This window comes from Homo sapiens, chromosome 2, assembly GCF_000001405.40.
Source record: "Homo sapiens chromosome 2, GRCh38.p14 Primary Assembly".
Taxonomy (NCBI): Eukaryota; Metazoa; Chordata; class Mammalia; order Primates; family Hominidae; genus Homo; species Homo sapiens.
This window is the reverse complement of record NC_000002.12, coordinates 151648282-151668881: the sequence shown is the minus strand read 5'-3', so window position 1 is coordinate 151668881 and position 20600 is coordinate 151648282. Positions and strand designations below refer to the sequence as shown.

At 36.9% G+C, this 20600-nt stretch overlaps 1 protein-coding gene across 47 annotated transcripts in view, besides 1 other annotated feature; it reads left to right on the top strand.

Annotated features, from left to right (window-relative positions):
- Positions 1-20600, top strand: part of NEB (nebulin) — a 249138-nt gene that overhangs the window by 65595 nt on the left and 162943 nt on the right. For 46 of the 47 annotated variants that reach the window (XM_011511226.3, XM_005246613.3, XM_005246612.3 and 43 more), the window contains exons 40-54: positions 971-1078; positions 2481-2792; positions 3343-3549; positions 4019-4123; positions 4274-4381; positions 5023-5334; positions 6541-6747; positions 9713-9817; positions 10792-10899; positions 12418-12729; positions 12859-13065; positions 13508-13612; positions 14783-14890; positions 17997-18308; positions 18503-18706. In XM_011511226.3, coding sequence (XP_011509528.1) covers positions 971-1078; positions 2481-2792; positions 3343-3549; positions 4019-4123; positions 4274-4381; positions 5023-5334; positions 6541-6747; positions 9713-9817; positions 10792-10899; positions 12418-12729; positions 12859-13065; positions 13508-13612; positions 14783-14890; positions 17997-18308; positions 18503-18706 — 2820 coding nt within the window. The remainder of the gene's footprint in view (positions 1-970; positions 1079-2480; positions 2793-3342; positions 3550-4018; positions 4124-4273; positions 4382-5022; positions 5335-6540; positions 6748-9712; positions 9818-10791; positions 10900-12417; positions 12730-12858; positions 13066-13507; positions 13613-14782; positions 14891-17996; positions 18309-18502; positions 18707-20600) is intronic. The other variant, XM_011511227.3, reaches the window with a different exon arrangement.
- Positions 17273-17567: an enhancer, noted in NCBI's record as "tiled region #15124; K562 Activating DNase unmatched - State 8:EnhW". NCBI's record gives its function as "activates a minimal TATA promoter and a strong SV40 promoter by Sharpr-MPRA in K562 cells {active_cell/tissue: K562}" and the evidence as "EXISTENCE:reporter gene assay evidence [ECO:0000049][PMID:27701403]".

The following is a 20600-nucleotide window of genomic DNA, read 5'->3' as shown; positions in this document are numbered from 1 at the left end:
CTAGGGGGCGGCAATAAAATTTTGCTTAATACAGGCTTTTCCAGACTATGGGCTGTGGCTTATTAGTGGGTTGTAAAGTCAGTCAAGTAAGTTGTGTCCCATTTAAAAAAAAAATGGAACATGAGACAGACAAGATTGGAAAACACAAGAGTGCCTAGTCTGTAGTATGGAAAACATTGCTTTTTACAACTTTTAATTATTTATTAAAACATCCAAAAAAGTTTAGTTTTCTTCACAAAATCTTTTTTTGTATGTAACTAGCCTTTCTCTTGAGTGGTCTAGACATCTAATTGGTGGTAATGTTTAAATCCACTATTATGAATTGTTTCCTTTTTTAAAAAAAGGATATTGATAAATCCTAATTTAAAAACATAATAAAACTTGGATAAAATTGTTAATTTTTTAAAAGATGGCTTATTCATTCTTTCCAATGTTTTTAGGCTCTGTTTCATATCCAACTATACATTCCTGTGCTTTTGTTTCATTAAGGGGAAAGATTTTTCTAAGTAATATTTAAGCATTAAGATCAATTAAAGCTGAGTTGTACTACATCTGGATTTTTAGTTTTAGTATTCATATCTTCCTATAAGCTTGAAATGCTTCATTACAAGAAACGTTTTTCCAAAAGTATTATATATTTATTATAGAAAAGTTGGAAAATATAGAAAATTATGACAAATAAATGAAAACCTTCTGTTATCCAACAGTCAAAGCATTACCTTTCTGTTGCTTTGTTATGCAAGCATATACATTTTTTGATCAGTTGAGATTATACTGTGTATACAGTTTACTGATCCTTTTAAATAAAATCAATTATATACATAAAAGACAAACTAATAGTCCTAACTTCATAGATTGTCTTAATAGAAAGGGATCTATTACGACATGTTTTATAAGAAACATTTTGGCATTCTGTTTCATTCCTCTTTTAATGATGTCAAATAATAAAATAACCTCTACTTTTTTGAAGGCTCATTATAAAGCAGATTGGAAGAAAACCATTGCCAAGGGCTATGATTTGAGACCAGATGCCATCCCAATTGTTGCTGCAAAAAGTTCAAGGAATATTGCTAGTGATGTAAGTCTAACTTAAAAGTAGGAAACTTTCTATCTAAAAGACTTCAGGAGTTCAAGACCAGCCTGGGCAACATAGCAAGACCCTGTCTCTACAGAAATAAAAAAAAAAATTAGCCAGATGTGGTGGCGTGTACCTGTAGTTCCAACTATTTGAGAGGCTGAGATGGGAGGATCTCTTTAACCCAGGAGTTTGAAGCTGCAGTGAGCTGTGATTGCACTCCAGCCTGGGTGATAGAGTGAGATCCCATCTCTAAAAAAGAAAAAAAAATCTATATGTGATGTATAAGATTGTATCAACTACATAAAGAAGCAAGTAAAGAAATTATAATATAAAAATATTTCCTAAAATCCTAATTGCCAATTACGTTATTTATATTGCCTCACTTAAAATATTTTTCACATATTTAAAAGCTTAATAAAGTTGTTAGAAGAAAATTCTTTTTTAAAAACTGTGACGTACTTAAAACTTTCATTAGTATCATTGTTATGAACTTAAAAACCACTTTTTATTTGGATTTTGTCATGAAAAAAGTCATGATATACTAAAATATCACTAAATTAGAAAAGTCTCCAAGTATTTTAAAATAATTCAGTGTTTTAATTTTATAATTTCCATGAAGAAAAAAAATCCATGGAAATAGAAATATGGAAAACCAGAAAAAATATTTTGCTGATTCTTTCTGGTTTTTCGTATTTCTATTTCCATGGATTATATAACAGGATTTTAGTTAATTACATAACAGGATTTTAGTTAATTTTTTTTTTTACAAATTAAGTTATATTCCTATATGAATTGACATAATAAATGCCTTGATAGAGAAAAAAGGCATTAATTTCAAGATTAATACACTAATTTGTATTAGGGCTGAAATTTACTCATACAAATACGTTTTAAGGTAATACAAATTAATAATGGAAATATAGTCATAAAAAAGCATACATTGACCAGACATGGTGGCTCACACGTCTAATCCTAGCACTTTGGGAAGCTGAGGAGGGAGGGCCCCAGAGGCTGCAGGGAGTCATGACTGCACCATTGCACTCTAGCCTGGGGGACAGAGCAAGACCCTGTCTCAACAAAAAAACCAAAAAACAAAAAAAGCGTACATCAAATGCTTCATAAGCCAACTTCTCAGGAACCTTTGAGTATATTCAAATAATCTACTTATGAAGAGTATTAATATAAACTATTCCATTATTCCATTTTTAATGATCTCCAGGGCAGGTCTCAAGATGAGCCATTAAAAATATTTTGCTAATTGTTTATTTTAAAATACAAAAAAAAACTTCGATGTTACCTAGATTCAGACTGAAGTTGGCTTTTGCTTAATTTGTTGTATAAATTCAGTTTATATCAGACTTCTATGCTAGCCAACTTCTGTTTGCCCTTTGTTTTCAAATAGTGCAAATATAAGGAGGCCTACGAGAAAGCCAAAGGCAAGCAAGTTGGATTTCTCAGTCTTCAGGATGATCCTAAACTGGTTCACTACATGAATGTGGCCAAAATCCAGTCTGATCGTGAGTACAAAAAGGGCTATGAAGCCAGCAAGACCAAGTACCACACACCTCTGGATATGGTCAGTGTGACAGCTGCAAAGAAATCTCAGGAGGTTGCCACCAACGCCAACTACAGACAGTCATACCACCACTACACTCTCCTGCCCGATGCCTTGAATGTGGAGCACTCCAGGAATGCCATGCAGATTCAGAGTGATGTATGTACTGGTTACCAAGTTGTTATCCATTTCTAATGGGTGGGAGGAAAAAACAGGAGCCACTTACTCCATCCCACACCTGGCTGCACTCACTGTAATTAAGGATTCCCTCCAGAACTCAGAGTTTTAGGATTTCACTCATTTGAACTATAGGTGGCTTTGTTGTTAATTTTATATATATGCATACAAATATATTTAAAATGTTGGTATTAGACCCAAACATATGATGTTGTCTATGAAAAATTAGGAGGCTCAGATAGATGTTATATAATTTTCCTTCCAGTGCAAAATTCTGTTAATTTTTCATTTATTTTCCTCAAGAAAGTTAACTTGTTAAAGGAATTGCTGGGTCAGGATTTCCTGTTCAAAACCACTATGAATGCAATTATTTTTATAATTAATTTCTTCTGAAAGACTGTAGGGAGTAAAAAGCAGATTATTCTCCCCCTCCCAGCTTCTCTTTTTCTTTTTGATTGTAAGTAAATCACATAGCCAAAGAAACACAAGCCCTGACTCTTTCTGAAATGAAATTTTTTTTCTCATTGTAAAGAATCTGTACAAATCTGACTTCACCAATTGGATGAAAGGGATCGGCTGGGTGCCCATAGAGTCCCTGGAGGTGGAGAAGGCAAAGAAAGCAGGAGAGATTCTTAGTGAGAAGAAGTATCGCCAGCACCCCGAGAAGCTGAAGTTCACTTACGCCATGGACACAATGGAACAGGCACTTAACAAGAGTAACAAACTGAACATGGACAAGGTAAGGACTCACCTGCCAGCCTCGCCCAGGGAACCCTCATGGTGTTCATGACATTGAGCCTGGCAGTGCCCCAATCGTCTCCTACAGTGTTTCTTTCTGATCGTCTTCGTGCCGGTGGTGGGAGGGGGACTCTATTGCTTCCATTATGTTTAGAGCGTTCTCTTTCATAGTGACCCCTCAGATCATCTCTCAACAGCATGTTAAGAATGTGACAGAACCACAAAACTCCACATGGTTGTGCGGTGGGGGCAAGATGGTATTTGGTGCTTTGGTGGTAGAGGGTTGCCGTATTCAACAATTTTTTTCTTATTGTGTATTTAGTTTACTTGGCCCATCTTTTTGTTATTTCATCCATTTTCTAATATCCATTTAACCTCTTTTACCATGGAGTTGTAAATCTCTTCCTCTTGCTAGCATTGGGTCAAACTTGTCCTGCTGTAAAATCATGCACCTGACTTTCTCATTGCAGAGGCTCTACACTGAAAAATGGAACAAGGACAAGACCACCATTCATGTCATGCCTGACACACCGGATATTTTACTCTCCAGAGTAAACCAAATCACCATGAGTGATGTAAGTAGGTTAACAACAGCAAAAGCTGGGGAGAAGGTTAAAGGGAACTGATACTTATGTCTGCATTCTACATACCAACCACTTTGTAGTCAGGACCTCTATTCTAACCCCAATAACAAGATGCTGTTGTTTTTCTATTTTATTGTTTAGAAACTGTACAAAGCTGGCTGGGAAGAGGAAAAGAAGAAAGGATATGACCTGAGGCCTGATGCCATTGCAATAAAGGCTGCAAGAGCCTCTAGAGACATTGCCAGTGATGTAAGTGCTTGCACTGGGCCTTTTTGGGGTTGAGCAAGTAAGAACAAATGCGCTAAGCTTGTGTGTATGTAGGAGCAGTGGTCAGCTCCATTCAGGGTTGGTGGGAATGCCATCCCATGTGACACAAGACACCTCCCTTCACCCCATCCAAGTACCCTCTAATCATCTGTTCATTATTTAATGTAAGTAGTGACTGAGTCTTGTTAAAATAAGTAGCCTTTAGAGTCTATTCAAATCACTTACAATCCTAAGCAAATGTAAAGATGCAATCTACGTGTTTTACCAGGAGGCCCATGGCCAGGCCCTCTCTTTAAAGATGCACCATGAGAAATCCTGCCTGCAGCCTTTTCTGTCACTTAGACAACTGAGTGGGGAAATCTGCTTTCTAAATCTCTCTAAACCAATTTATTTACACATCTCTTCGATTAACTCTGAGATTATTTTCTTTCCATGGACTCAAGTCTCGGGAAAAAAAAAAATGAAGTAAAAAGAGTTTGCTCCCTCCCTCTCACGAGTGCCTCCCTTCCAATTTTAGAGTAGCTCTAAAACCCTTCATCTAAGACAAAGCTCACATCACCTAGCAAATGGTACTTTGTTCTCTTTTACCATTTTCATCACCATAATTTCTTCTCTGTCCACAGTACAAATACAAGAAAGCCTATGAACAAGCCAAAGGGAAACACATTGGCTTCCGGAGCCTGGAAGATGACCCCAAGCTGGTGCACTTCATGCAAGTGGCCAAGATGCAGTCAGACCGGGAATACAAGAAGGGATATGAGAAATCCAAGACCTCCTTCCACACCCCGGTGGACATGCTCAGTGTGGTGGCAGCCAAGAAGTCTCAGGAAGTGGCCACCAATGCCAACTACAGGAACGTGATCCATACCTACAACATGCTTCCTGATGCCATGAGCTTTGAATTGGCCAAAAATATGATGCAGATTCAAAGTGATGTACGTGAAAACCACATTTGCAGAGCGTTTACTCTGGATAATAAGCAACCATGAGTGACCATAAGCAATGACGTTTTGAAAATCCTGAAAGAAATTCATCTGCAATTTCCCAACATAGTGTTTCATTTGTTACCTTAGATTGAATTCATGTCCTTTAACAAAAGGAGATCAATTCTAGAAACTAAAGTCTTGTTTTCTACTATTGTTGCTGGGAGCATTGTTGGATTCTGAATTCCACAACAGCAAATGGAACTTCATTTCAGAAAGAGTGTATTGAAAGGAATATGTCTAGCAAAGATGGTCAAAAGCATAATAGGCTTTTAATAGAGGAATAAAAGGGAAAGTAAGAAATCAGATAACCTGATAGCTCCAGCCCCTCCCTCCCAACCGGGTTTCATTCTACCACTTCTAACTTTGCAATTGCCTGCCTTACTAATGAAATTTTGAGAAGGTGATGACTGAGGCAGCCTTTAGACTAAATATAAGGAAGACAGAGAAAGAATAGAGCCAAGAATTTAGCTAAAGAGTCCATTTGATGGTTGGAGAGGTGAATTAAGTTACAAACCCAAAGCAGACGAAAGCAAGGCTACATTTCTCTTTGGGAATGTGAGGGCTGAGCTATTAATTGTCAGGGAGGTAGTAAGTGCCTGAATGAAAGCAGCCATGGCACAGGTGTAGAGAGAAATGTCAAAGCTGAGGAGGAAAAAATGAAATTTACACAAAGTACCAGGAAGGTTTCTGGCATACCTGAGGGAATTGTAATGGTGGTGGTTGATCAAAGACAGTGAAAGAGAAAAATGGGGTTTCCATAGTCATCTGTTAACCAAGGGGACTTGGGAATTTTTATAAGAAAGGTCAGCATAGTTGCTTTTCTCAAGGAGATAACAGTCACCTGGGAGATGAATCTATGTGGTATTTCTTAGTACTTTTTCTTTATGAAGGCATTGAGAAAAACAAGTCACAAAGACATTTCTGCTTATTTTTAATTTATCATGCAAGGAAATATAAAAAGGATAAAAGTTTAGGGAAGAAATGGTTGAAGTTCAACATGCTATTGGTTAAATACCAATATTCAAGCAAATATTGAAGTGGAAAAGTTACAGAAAATTTACAAATGAAATGGAAGTTACAGAATGTTAAACACACACTTAGGATTCTTGGGAAGTTCCAGTTTCTTCTCATAATTTAATTTTTCCTCTTTTGCAGAATCAGTACAAGGCTGACTATGCTGACTTCATGAAGGGCATTGGATGGCTCCCTCTGGGCTCCCTGGAAGCAGAGAAAAACAAGAAAGCCATGGAGATTATTAGTGAAAAGAAGTACCGCCAGCACCCAGACACTTTGAAGTATTCCACACTCATGGACTCGATGAACATGGTTTTGGCCCAGAATAATGCAAAAATTATGAACGAAGTAAGTCTTTCAATAATGCAGTGTTTCATATGCATCAGAGAGAATCCAGGTATAATTTACATTTAATCCACAGGTTTTGCTAATACAGTTATAGGGCATCACACTTGAGGTTATTTTACCTAGAAAAAGAGTCTTGTCGTTAAAAAAAAAAAGAATAGGAATTATTTCTAACTAGTAGTCTTCAAATCTTCAATGAACCATCCTATCTCATTGACATAACCAAATAAATAGGGACTTTTTCTTTTACTGCACCTCTTGAAAATGAGTCCTGTTTGTCTAAGGTGAGGTTGAATAGACATTCATGACACTGAATCAGCAGATTTCCTGATGGTAGCTGGTGTTGGAAACCACCTCCCAAACCCCAGCTTGCTTTCTGCTTTGATGGGATCAAAGAAAAGTCCAAGATTACATGCCTGTAGCAGCATTTCAAACCAGGACGTTCTCTGGGTAATCTTGAGGGCAGTTGTTCTACATCAGTGTTTCCTTGGTTCATGAATTATTCCAGCTTTTAGAAAAGACTTACTCTATTTTTACATTGATTTGCAATAAGAGATCAAGACCAACAAGTACAATCAACCTTGAACATCTGTTTTTGAAGTTAAAAGTAATAAAATAACTGCAGCAGCACTGGTGGATCAAAATGAGAAATGCCTTTGATAACAGAGAAAAAGATGATTTGGATCTAAACGTGAAACAGTTGCAGAAAATAATGGCCATAGTTGTGCTAGAAAGATAGAACTGTATTATGCTAAGCCACGGAGCAAACCCCCTGGAGTCTTCAGAGAATTGAATGATTTGTGGAGCTCAACCTCCTTGAAAGGGACCTGCCTCAAAGACAAGGCACAAATTTCTGTGCCTCTTTTAAGATTTAAATCTAAACTACATGAGGATATCTATTTTTTTCAGTGTTAGTGATTAACATTTCAGGATAATGATGCCAAGAGGAGAATCATAGAACTAGCACGTACTGGCACCAAGAGACATCTTGATGACCATCAAGTTGAATCCTCCCATTGCAGAGTTGAGAAAAGAACAGCCCAGAGAAGCAAAGCACCTCCCACACAGCGGGTCAACAGCAGGGTCTGGACTAGAACAGGGATTCTGATAACTAGTCACCACTCTTTCCACTAGCATTTCACTGTCCAATACTATTACTACTAGCCACATGTGTTGATTTATATTTACATAAATCATATTAATAATTCAGTTTCTCATTCACATTAGCTACATTTCAAGTACTCAATCGGCCTATGTGGCTAGGTTCTACCATATTGGATTATGCAGAACATTTCCATCATTACAGAAAGTTCTATTGTATAGTGCTGGTCTAAAACAGAGTTCAGAAAAATGACTGTTTTTGTAAATAAAGTTTTATAGTGACACAACCACAGCTGTTTGTTGGCGTGTGGTCTCTGGCTGCTTTTGGACTACAACAGCAGAGTTGAGTAGCTAATGACAGCAATTGTTTAGCCCACAAAGCCTGAAATTTAAGGAATTTCTGTCTATACAGAAAAAGTTTGCCAATCTCTAGTCCAGAAAAAGGTTATTCTTATTTTAATTAAGATGGGCTAAAACAAAGAGATAGCATTTATCATCTATTGCATTTGCAAATATTAAATAGCTGTGTTACATGCAATATCTGTAAGGGAGTTTCTGTTAAAGCAAACTTTTAATGGGCCATTTGTTAATGTTCGTTAAAATTTAAAACTCAGGTATCATTACCCTATAGAAATCCTTATATATGTGTGCAAAGATATACATACATACATACATACACACAAGAATATGTTTTGCAGTTTAGGGTTTCTGAAAGGAGACGCTAAGATGAAAATTGGAGTACAGAGTATTTTTTAGGGATCCTAGTCTTTGGGAAGAAGGACTAGGCCGGAGGAGAAGTTGAACAGTGATGCTGGCATGACAAAGTCTTGGCCAGTCCCACAGAGGGCTCTCAAGTGTCTCTGTCAGTAGAGACCTGCACTGAACTGAAATGGCTAGATCTTTGTACCCCCACTTCGATGAGTTGTTGAATGTGGTTATCTGGGAAGGGCATACTCTTGAGTGAGACAGCTGGTGACTGGAGACTATTTGCCAAAAGTTGGGGAATCAGGTCCTTCCTTGAATGAGTATATTGGTGGCACATCTCCATGTCCACCACAAGGATCATGACATTGCTTGTAGCAGAAAAAGGCTAGAGGCCATAAGTTAAATATTCATCACCAGAGAACTGATTAAATTAATTAGATTATACCTCCTAATGAAATACTACGTAGCTCTAAAAATGAATGAAGTAAATTATTTTAAGAAGGTTCAAATATGTCTAACCTATATTATTAAGTTAAAAATCAAGATGTAGAACATGACTTCATGTATATTTAAAAAGGACTATATGTCTGTTTTAATTTACACAGAAAATTTTAGGAGGCAAATGCTACCTTCATGCTGTAAGATAAGGGGAAAAAACATTTTTACTTTCCATCTTACATCCTCCCTGCTGTATTGTTTGAATAAGCAACTTTTCCATTAAAATTTTTTTGGGCCAGGTGCAGTGGCTCATGCCTGTAATACTAGCACTTTGGAAGGTGAAGGCAGGTGGATTGCTTGAGCTCAGGAGTTTGAAACCAGCCTGGGCAACATGGCAAAAACCCATCTCTACAAAAAATACAAAAATTAGCCAGGCATGGTAGTGCATGCCTGTAGTCCCAGCTACTCAGGAGGCTGAGGTGGGAGGATGGATTGTTTGAGCCTGGGAGGTGGAGGTTGCAGTGAGCCATAATTGCACTACTGCACTCCAGCCTGGGTGACAGCGCAAGACTCTGTCTCAAAAATAATAAATAAATAAATTAATTAATTTAAACCTAGCTAATAAAAATACATGAAATATTGATATATATGTACAATGATATGTATGTACTAAGTGAGCTTCTTTTAAGATTTTAAACACTAATTTACACTGTTTTTTTCCTAGCATCTCTACAAACAAGCATGGGAGGCTGACAAAACCAAAGTCCACATCATGCCTGATATCCCCCAGATTATTTTGGCAAAGGCAAATGCAATTAATATGAGTGATGTAAGTATAGTTCCCCCTGTTGTCATCTTTCTCTCCAGCAGATTTGAACCAGTAAGAACAAATTAATTAATATCTCTCTCAGTTATGAGAGTGAATGTTTTAAAAATAATGGTGGAAATCCACACATGAGACTCTTTCTAATTTTGCTTTGCGGAGTTGGAGTAGGACTGTGGATGGGGTTGGGCCAAGCAGTTAAGAATTTGAACGGTGTGATTGGATTTTGTTCTAGGGGGGCACTCCTTATTAAATTGAGAGATTTGGTAGAAAGAAACAGGCTCCGGGGCCAGGAGAAGAGAAAAAGGAAATGAGAGTCCTAGAATTTCGTTCTTAGACAGCCCTTCCATCAAGCCTTTGAGATGGTTCTAAAGAAGGGGTTAAATGGAAAGGGAAGAAGAACATTTTGAAGAATCTGGGGCAAAACCCCAAAACAAAGAATGTGCAAATGTATTGATATTTTATTTCATTTCCTTTTTCATCCTAATCATAGTTGCTAGGAAATCCTCTAATCCTATTTTTATCATTTCTTTGTTTGAATTCCACAGAGATTTGGAATAGCTGACCTTTTTTTTTAATTGTAGATTCCACATTATTATACAAATAAAAGTGCTGATTCTAAAACAGAGATGTTTTCTTTTGATGTAAGAATAAGGCTGTTTTGTAGTCTTCCTTTAACTCTTATTTGCATCAATAAGAATCTCTGGGACTTTCACATTTTTTAAAGTATATTTACAACCTAATAGAGACCAGTAACTTTTACTTTTTCTGGTATTTTCTTGAAAATATGTTTAAGTTTGTTATAGATTGTTTTTCAAACACAGTTATGTTACTTGTAAGAACATTCAGCCACTGAAGCACCAACGAAGCATTCTGCTCAAAAACAAAAAAAAAGACGCCACAGTGGTAGTTTACTCTTCTAAAATAAATCCAGGCTTTCATATTTAGAAGAAAACTCTTCCCTTTGCCTCTCTTTACAGAAACTCTACAAACTTTCCTTGGAAGAGTCTAAAAAGAAAGGCTATGATCTCAGACCTGATGCAATTCCTATCAAAGCTGCCAAGGCTTCCAGAGATATTGCAAGTGATGTAAGTCCAAAGGAAACGGTCACCTGGCTGGGGGTTTCTAAGGAACCGAAATAATAAGGGCTGAGTTCTGGAAACACTGAGTGGACACAATATGAAAAACAGTGGGTCTCACTCTCTGTGAATGCTTCTTAACCTTGCTTTTGTGTTTTCTCTGATATTTCTGAAAAAACACCAAGCTAACCACATGGTGACCCTCATAGATGTCAGCTCCCTGACTCATGAGATCTAGATAAACTTACTTTGAATCTGTCACCAAGGCTATGGCTTATAGAAATTCAAAGCCCTTCACTAAGCTTTCTTGGTGAAAGTCTTGTGTTGTTCTTGCCTCCTGCTTCTTCGGATCTGATTTTCTAACAGGATGTCTCATGTATGCAAGGGTGCTGATCATTTGGGCTCATGATAGTTGATGAGTAAATAATCAGGAATTTTTGCAAACCAGTTGTTAAACTATCGGTGGCTTGATATCAGCTGTGACGGGCATATTTACACCACAGAAATTGGCAAACACTACAAAGTGAGGCTTTCCCTGCGCTGGCCGGCAAAAAAGCAGGTGTACCAACACATCACTGTCATGACATGCCACCTATATGAAACTCAATTCTTTCATTTGGTTGTTTCCACAAGAAATCCACTCACAGGGAACATTTAATGACTTGGAGGTCCTGGGAGGAGCATATTTCAAAACAATCTCTCCTTGGTCACCCATCAGTTTTACTTTCTCTCCCATCTCTATTCTTCATCTTCCCTACCTATCCAGCCCATCCCATTCTCTCTTATTATCCTGAGAACTCCAAATTCTTCTCCCCTCTATTACGCTGGAGTAATTTGGCTCTACTAGCTTCTACCCCCAACTTGCACACGCAACCCCAAAAGGAGACAGGCAGAAAAAGAAGCTCTCCATGGATCAAGATCTCCCCTCTGTAGAAGAAAGTTGGGATGATAAATAGTACAATTTCTTCCCCATTATAGCAGTTTAGAGAGTCTTAAAGGAAAAGGAGCTCCACGAATATAAAGCTATTCTAAAATTACACTGTGTGTCTCATAATTGAAACTTTTCTCATCAGTAAATGACTGACAGAATAATTTCTCAGGGCAGCATTAAGAGAAATGTTCTGTTTTTTTGCCTTTTTTTTTTCATCTTCTGTGTTCTTTTTACCTACTAAAGGCCTCTTTAGCACTAACAGCAAAGTACATGCATAAGTCAGTGTGATGCATCATCACAAAATCTGGGTTCTAATCCTCAGTGGCCTCAGCAGGTTGCTCAGCTCTCTGGGTCTCAGCTTATTCATCTATAAAATGAGGAGAGTAATAAGAACTTTTCTATCTACCTCACAAGGGAGAGTTGTATTCAGTTACATCAATAAATATGAAAAATTAGTCTGTGAACTATAGAGCTCTATACAAATATAATTTTTAATTATATTTTATAATTATACAAAAATAATATAGCATATTGACACTAGATCGATTTTTAGTCAAAGGAATTGCTCTGTGTAAAAACTCATATTTTCTTCACAGTATAAATACAAGTACAATTATGAAAAAGGGAAGGGGAAAATGGTTGGTTTCCGCAGTCTCGAGGATGATCCCAAATTAGTCCATTCCATGCAAGTGGCTAAGATGCAATCTGATCGGGAGTACAAGAAAAACTATGAGAACACAAAGACCAGCTACCACACCCCTGCCGACATGCTCAGTGTCACGGCTGCAAAGGATGCCCAAGCCAACATCACCAACACTAACTACAAGCACCTGATTCACAAGTACATCCTCCTTCCAGATGCAATGAACATTGAGCTGACCAGGAATATGAATCGCATACAGAGTGATGTAAGGCTTTCTTCTACTTGGGTGATGGTTGGAATCCTAGCATGGGAAGGGAGATCACAGTCTGTTTACATGCCATGGTTTGTGTCTAAATGGATAAGATAAAGTAGAATTTGCTTATCTTCTTTATAGAATGAATATAAGCAAGATTACAATGAATGGTACAAAGGGCTTGGCTGGAGTCCAGCAGGTTCTCTGGAAGTGGAGAAGGCCAAGAAAGCAACTGAATATGCCAGTGATCAGAAATACCGCCAGCACCCGAGCAACTTCCAGTTTAAGAAGCTGACTGATTCCATGGACATGGTGCTTGCCAAGCAGAATGCACATACCATGAACAAGGTACAGAGAACAGTGGCCGTCCACACAGCTCCCACGTGAGGAAAGGCTAGCAGGCTCTGGTTCTTGTTTGGAGAAATCTAATTAAGGTCCATCATTCCTAGGCTGTGGCAAACCATTCCAGATCATTCCCCTACACCATCTTCTTCTGCCCATCTCTTATTTTTTTTCTTCTCTTGACCTTCTAGTTGGGTTAGAAATTATTTATGTTTTTAATTATTATATCTTCAATACTTTCAGTCCATTGTAGAAAATAGAAAATACTTAAAAGATTTTTTTTTTAAATCTGAGTTTGTTTTTAGGGTCTTTTCTGAATTATATGCTACTTAGTTATTACTTACTACATCAAATTGAGTGCATTCAAGTACTAATATATAAATACATATTTTTCTTTCCTGCTTGTCCCAGTTATTCAAATTTCATGTCTTTTTTTCCCACTTCCTAGCATTTATACACCATTGATTGGAATAAAGATAAGACCAAGATTCATGTGATGCCTGATACACCAGATATTTTACAAGCCAAGCAGAATCAAACACTGTATAGTCAGGTAAATTTATATAAAAATTAATTTTAAGTTTTGTATTGAAACTTATGAACTTATAAAATAATGTAACAGTAAATACTGATATAAATGTTGAAGCAATGGAAGTTTGGAAATGACACACTGATTAGCCCAGGATGTTGCAAAATAGAGTGCTTAAGAGCAAAGGCTTCAGCCACAACTGTATGCTTTGTGGAGCAGGTTCTGTGTCTGTTTATCTCTGTGTTCATTGTGCTTGATACCAAGCAGGAAATCAATAGAAAATTGTTGAAAAAAAATTGCATCAAACAGCCAGGTGTGATGACATGCACCTGTAGTCCCAGCTACTCAGGAAGCTGAGGCAGGAGGATCCCTTGAGCTCTGAAGTTTGAATCCAGTTTGGGCAACATTGGGAGACCCTGTCTCTAATAAATAAATACATAAATAAAGTAAAAATTGCATCAAACAGACTTGGTATGAGTTTTGGCTTTGCCATTTTTGAGATGTATAGTACTGGGTAACTCAATTACCTATCTAAGTCTCACTTTCCTCATCCCTAAAATTGGGACCATAAAAGTGCCTATGACATTGGATTGCCATGAGGACTAAATGGGAAATTCTGTATAAGATTCTCAATACAGTACCTGGCCCATGGAAAGTACTGGATAACTATGAGCTATTTTTGTTATTACCCAGTTTTAACACACATACATCCATTCAATCAGTAAAGTCAACTCAGAAAGATTGCAACTAAATTATTGCAATTTATAAAAGGCATTTCATCATTTATTGCTTTTATCACTTAGCTAATTAAAATGTTGTGACCTGTTTTTCTTTTTATTAGCAATTATCTTAATATCTATCTTCAAAATAGTAAGCCCAGGCGGTATTAAACAGCAGTGAGAAAGATACGTGATATGCCTGATATGACCATATTGTTTCTGAACAGCAGAAGCTATGATAAAATATACCACCAGGATTCTCACAGCCAAAAAAGATTAAAGCCAGGTCATATGATGCTGAGTCAGTGCTTTTTCCCCTCCTTTAAACAGCTTGTTTTATTTTTATCCATATCTTTAAAGATAGGGTAGATGATGTTCGATCTGATATTCACTCTGTAGGTAAACTTTTCCCTAATAATCTATTGATATTCTTTATATAGACAGAATAATGCTGAAGAATATCTTTAATTTTCAGAAACTCTATAAACTTGGATGGGAAGAAGCTTTGAAGAAAGGCTATGATCTCCCAGTTGATGCAATTTCTGTACAGCTAGCTAAAGCTTCAAGAGACATTGCTAGTGATGTGAGTACTAGTTTGAGTTCTATAAGGCTATATTTTTATCTGAATCAGGTGACTTAATGTCGGTAACTATTTTTATGGATAGTCTTTACCTTTCAAAATATAATGCTTCCTTCATTTTCTCCTACCCTCTTCATTTATCCGGAGTTCACTCTTCTCTTTCACTGTTCATATGTCAAAAGGGCTTCCTGAATAGAGGTCGGGCCAGACGACCTCTAAGATCCATTAGAGTAAGATGCTCTACTTGGAGATGTTACAAAGGACCCGAGATTGCAAGTTTTCCCTACTTTGCCTGAAAATATAATAATTTTACTGCTTTCTACTTGTCTATTTTAGACAAATTCAAAGTGCCAGATGATAAATCAACCTCAACAAACTGATGCTGATAGATTTTATATGCACATATTTTAAAATAGGCTGTCAGTTATTTCAGTTTAGCCCATTTTGCACTTATATAATTGTAATAAATTACCTTGGGACATAAAAAATCCAAGAAGGTCCAGAAATTTAGGTTTAAGTTCCCAAGGGCTTACTTAACTCTTCTTTCTGAAAATCCAATCTAAAGTTCATAGATTCACTCTCCCAAAGGTAGATTCCAGTTATGATTAGAAACGGTAGCAAATCTGGTGAAAAACTAGGTATTGTCTCTATTTAGGTATTGTCTCTATTGGTTAATTTTTTACAAGTATTTTACTTAGATATTCTGCATATTGCTAGCATATCATTTTGTTAATCCCAAAACTTAACCACAAAAATTCAGAAGGTCTTGGTTATAGTGAATAAATTACCAGGATTTCATAGGGAAGTAGGACCTCTTAATCAAAATCTTTGAAAGAAAACAGGGATTTGGTTAATAGGCAGGTTGAAGTACAGAGTGCAGGAAAGGAATGCCTAAAAATGGAATCTGACAATAAATTCTAAGAATATAGGGGAAGATTTTATTTAATTCACTTAATTTCTGGCACTCCAGAAATGTTGGAAAATTAATATGATGATATATTATTACCCACTCTCCAGCTTGCAGGTCAATCCCTTATTAAAATAAATCAATGAGGTGATAAGCCTAAAGCAATAATGATGTGTAAACTCATTTCCATTTAGTGCTATGTGCTAAAGATAGTTTAGGAATTGAAGAAATAACATCAATAATTTCCTAACAACATTTGATAGTACCTCATTTCTTTTTGTGTGAACCCATTAATTCGAACCTTTTGAAATCTTACTCTCAAATGAACTATAAGTGAACTTTCCCACTATTATAGAGATGTATTTCCCTCAATTTCAAATGTCCTTGTATTTATAAATTTTCAGAAAATTAAAACAATTTTATAAGTATTTAATGAATTAGAATCATAGAATTTAGAGTCGGAAGATAACATAAAGGACATTTAATCTAATCTCCCACTCAGCATCCTACCTTCTCTCCATCTCCAAAATTCTGTAGATACTTAAAAATATAAGAATTTTGGAGGCTGGGTGCAGTGGCCCCGTCCCATAATCTCAGCACTTTGGGAGGCCAAGGCAGGAAGATGATTTGAAGCCAGGAGTTCAAGACCAGCCTGGGCAACGTAGTGAGACTCTTTCTTTACAAAAAATAAAAAATTAGCTGGGCATGGTGGTGTGTGCCTGGAGTCTCAGCTACTTGGGAGGCTGAGGTGGGAGGATCACTTGAGCTTGGAAGGCTGAGGCTTTAGTGAGCCATGATCGCACCACTGCACTCCAGCCTGGGCAACAGAGCCAGACGGTATCTCAAAAATAAAAAAATTCTTTAAAGGAATTTTGGAGTCCTTCAGGGCAGGTCATTTCTTTGTTAGATCATTTCTAATTGCCATTATATACCTTCTTATTTTTGCCTAAATATTTTACCAATAAGCTCTAGATCTCTGTTCTACAACACCACAAAGCAGCCTATTTCCACTTCCACTTGATAGGTCTTCAAACATTTTCATATTTGCCCTCCTTTGTTTTCAGTTTTATAAATTCTTCAATCTTCTGATCATTCTATTTGTAATTTGTGCTATTTTTTCAAAACTCTTGTCAAAATAGAATCCCTCAAAATTTAGTGTTGTTTTCTTGATACGGAAGGTCAGGTCAGAAAGCTTATTTGTGCCCCATACAAAATCTATGGCACTGCTTTTTAAAAAGCAATTTTGTCAGATTGCTTATGTTGAAGTTAAAGTCCACTTAAACTCCTGAATATTTTATATATGTAATAATGAAGCTGGGTATCATGTAACGTATAACATGTGTTCAGCACCTAACATCAAGTAAATGCTGTTAGTATACTCATTATTATCACTGTTGTTATTGTCATCTAGTACTAATGTGATTTTTCTTAATTGAATCTAAATACCAAATTTTACTTTTACTGTCTTAAATTTATGTAATCATTTTGACCCATTTGGCAGTATGTTGAGCTCCTGTGGAATTTTCTTCCTAATCTAACATATTTAGTTATTTTTAGCCATCTGCACATGCAAGATATAGATCCCAAACAGGACAAGGTTATATGACGTAACCACATGGCAAACCACAAAAAGATCCTGCTATTTAATGGATTAGTCTGCATTATTAGGCGTATTTACTTAGTCATGTATCTTCCTGATTTTTCTGCCATTTAGCCCGTAAGGATTATCATTTCCATAAGAATATCACAAGAGCTGTATTAAATACAACCCCAAAGTCAGAATACACAATATCTAGCACAACCAAACATATATTTCTGCATCTAGTTAGAATTAATTTCTTATCATAACCTCTCTTGATACTCAATTACATTAGATTTCTTCAGAAGCTTCCATGTAAACAAGGCTTAGTTTAAGTAAGTAAACATTCCATACTAAGTTAGCATAGACAACACTTCTCTCATTTCAGTTTTGGAAAACAAACATGAAAACAAGGCAAACTGAAGCTGGATGAGGTGGCATGTACCTGTAAATCCCAGCTACTAGGGAGGCTGAAGCTAGAAAAGTAGGCCTGGGAGTTCAAGACCAGCCTGGGAAACATAGACCCCTGTCTCAAAAAAAAGAAAGAAAGAAAAGAAAAAAAAGCAAGTTGAGCTTAACTTGGCCTTTGTGTACTAAAAGAGCTGTGTTTTCTCTGATTTCAGTATAAATACAAACAAGGCTACCGAAAGCAACTTGGCCACCATGTTGGATTCCGGAGTCTGCAAGATGACCCAAAACTTGTGTTGTCCATGAATGTAGCCAAAATGCAGAGTGAAAGAGAATACAAGAAGGACTTTGAGAAGTGGAAAACTAAGTTCTCCAGCCCAGTGGACATGTTGGGAGTGGTACTGGCCAAGAAGTGTCAGGAGTTGGTTAGTGACGTGGACTACAAGAACTACCTGCATCAGTGGACATGTCTGCCTGATCAGAACGATGTTGTGCAAGCTAAGAAAGTTTATGAACTGCAAAGTGAGGTCAGTTTCTATTAAATCCAATAGTTTATATATTAATTCATATTTTATATGAGTAGCTATTTAGTCAAAGAGAAGCAGAAATTAGGAATTATTATTGAAAATCTAAAATGCATCTGTTTGTAATGCATAGAATCACTTGAATCAAGGGTCCAGGTGAGAATGGGATTTTGATGGCTTGCTCTGTCTTTTCACAGAATCTATATAAATCTGACCTTGAGTGGCTGAGAGGCATAGGATGGAGTCCCTTGGGTTCTTTAGAGGCAGAAAAGAACAAGCGGGCTTCGGAAATCATCAGTGAGAAGAAATATCGTCAGCCTCCAGACAGAAACAAGTTCACCAGCATTCCTGATGCCATGGATATAGTTCTGGCAAAGACAAATGCCAAAAATAGGAGTGATGTGAGTAGCACTCTGGAAATAAATAGATTATAGTGCCTGCTACCTAGTGTTTGCTCAATAGCACTTGCTTAATAAATGAGTAGAACCACAAAGCATTGCCTCATACATCACCACATAAAATTTTATATTGGATCATTTTATTTGAATTAGCAACTATCCTACACTGAATCATGTAAAAATGGGTCAGTGTCAGTTTTTGTCACCCAAAGCTTATTTATTATTTAACCAAAATATAATGGGAAAATGATCGAACAAACTGTTTTTCTTTGAAACTTGACTGCATGAAACACCCAGATGTTTTTTGTTGGGGTAGAGTATATGAGGGGGAAAGATTCTGAGTACCTTACACAGGCACAATGGATGTGTTATAAAGAGTGTATTTCCTGACAAATGATTATAATGCTTTTAGTTTAGCTGAATCAGGATAAATGGATAATTCTGTCACTGTAAATAAGTATCTATTCCATCTTCAACTTATTTTCTTCACCAGCTCTGACACCAGTATCTAGCACATAATAGGTACTCAATAAATATTCATTGAAAAAATACATAAAATATAGCAGGGTGGAGTAATTATATGCAAAGAAGGGAAAGATTACTCAACACTGCTCAGCTAAAAGCCTAACTTTGAACATTACAGAATACTGAAGTATGTGCCCTGAAATCTGTAATTGGTAAGAAGATTTAAACAGATATATAATAACCGTCTGTTATTAGGAGGATCTAAATATATGTACTGTAGGTCTTAGGAGGATCTGAATATATATACTATATGTAATATGCTATACACTTTACATATATCATATATCAGAAGTTTTATATAATATATAAGCCCATAATCAGCTTAGAATGAGCATTGATAAACTGTAGTTCCTCTTTTCCTAACTAACCCCTCACAGACTTTTTATAATGCTGATTTCCAGAATGTATAGTAAATGCTGACCTGTCAGCTTCATTATGAATGTTTAAGCATTTACTTATTCTTTTACTATTTTTATGATGACAGAATCCAACAAAATGAGAAAACAACAAATTTGTACAAAATGTTTCCCCCTTGTTGGAATCCAAGTTTCTTTTCTTTCCATGAAACAGGAGATAAAAAGATCTGAACTTAATAAGGTGACCAAATGAGAACCCCTAGATCATTAAGTTTATCGATATACACGTTCTGGGACAGGACTCCCCAGCAGTGTGCTCTAGTTTGGGGAATGCTGAAACATGGAGCTCTCAGGCCTCAGGACTGCCACACAAAACCCGGGCCAGCTGGGGTCCTTGAGCTTGCAGTCTCTCCTTCTGAATCAACTGATACACCTATCCCAGTGTAAATAATAATAGCATTTTCTCTGCATTCCATGGGGTGAAAGTGGCACATGCCATTGAAGAAATAATCTAACTTAGTGACTTTCAACCAGAAGCAATTTTGTCCCACAGGAACATTTAGCAACATCTAGAAATATTTTTGGTTTTTACAACTGGGGAGTGGCATGCTACTGGCATCTAGTGGGTAGAAGCCAGGGATGCTGCTAAGCACCCCACAATGCACGGGGCAGCCCCCACAACAAAGAATCATCCATACACAATATCAGTGGTTAGCAGGTAGAGAAACTCTGCTGTTTGCTTGGTGGGTACAATGTGTGTTGCTCCAGTGATGGATGCACTGAAGGCCCTGACTTCACCACAATGCAATTGCTCTTGTGCCCCCATGAATATATGGAAATAAAAAAATTTTTTAAAGAGAAACTCTGGTGTTACTAAATCCAAAAGGGTAGTGCAGAACTGGGATACACACATATGGAAATTAACAAGCCTTGCTTTGTTTGGGTGCTGAGGGTCTTAATTGGCTTCTCTGGGTTATATGCACCATAACAAACATGTGCAGGAAAAAGAAAAGTGC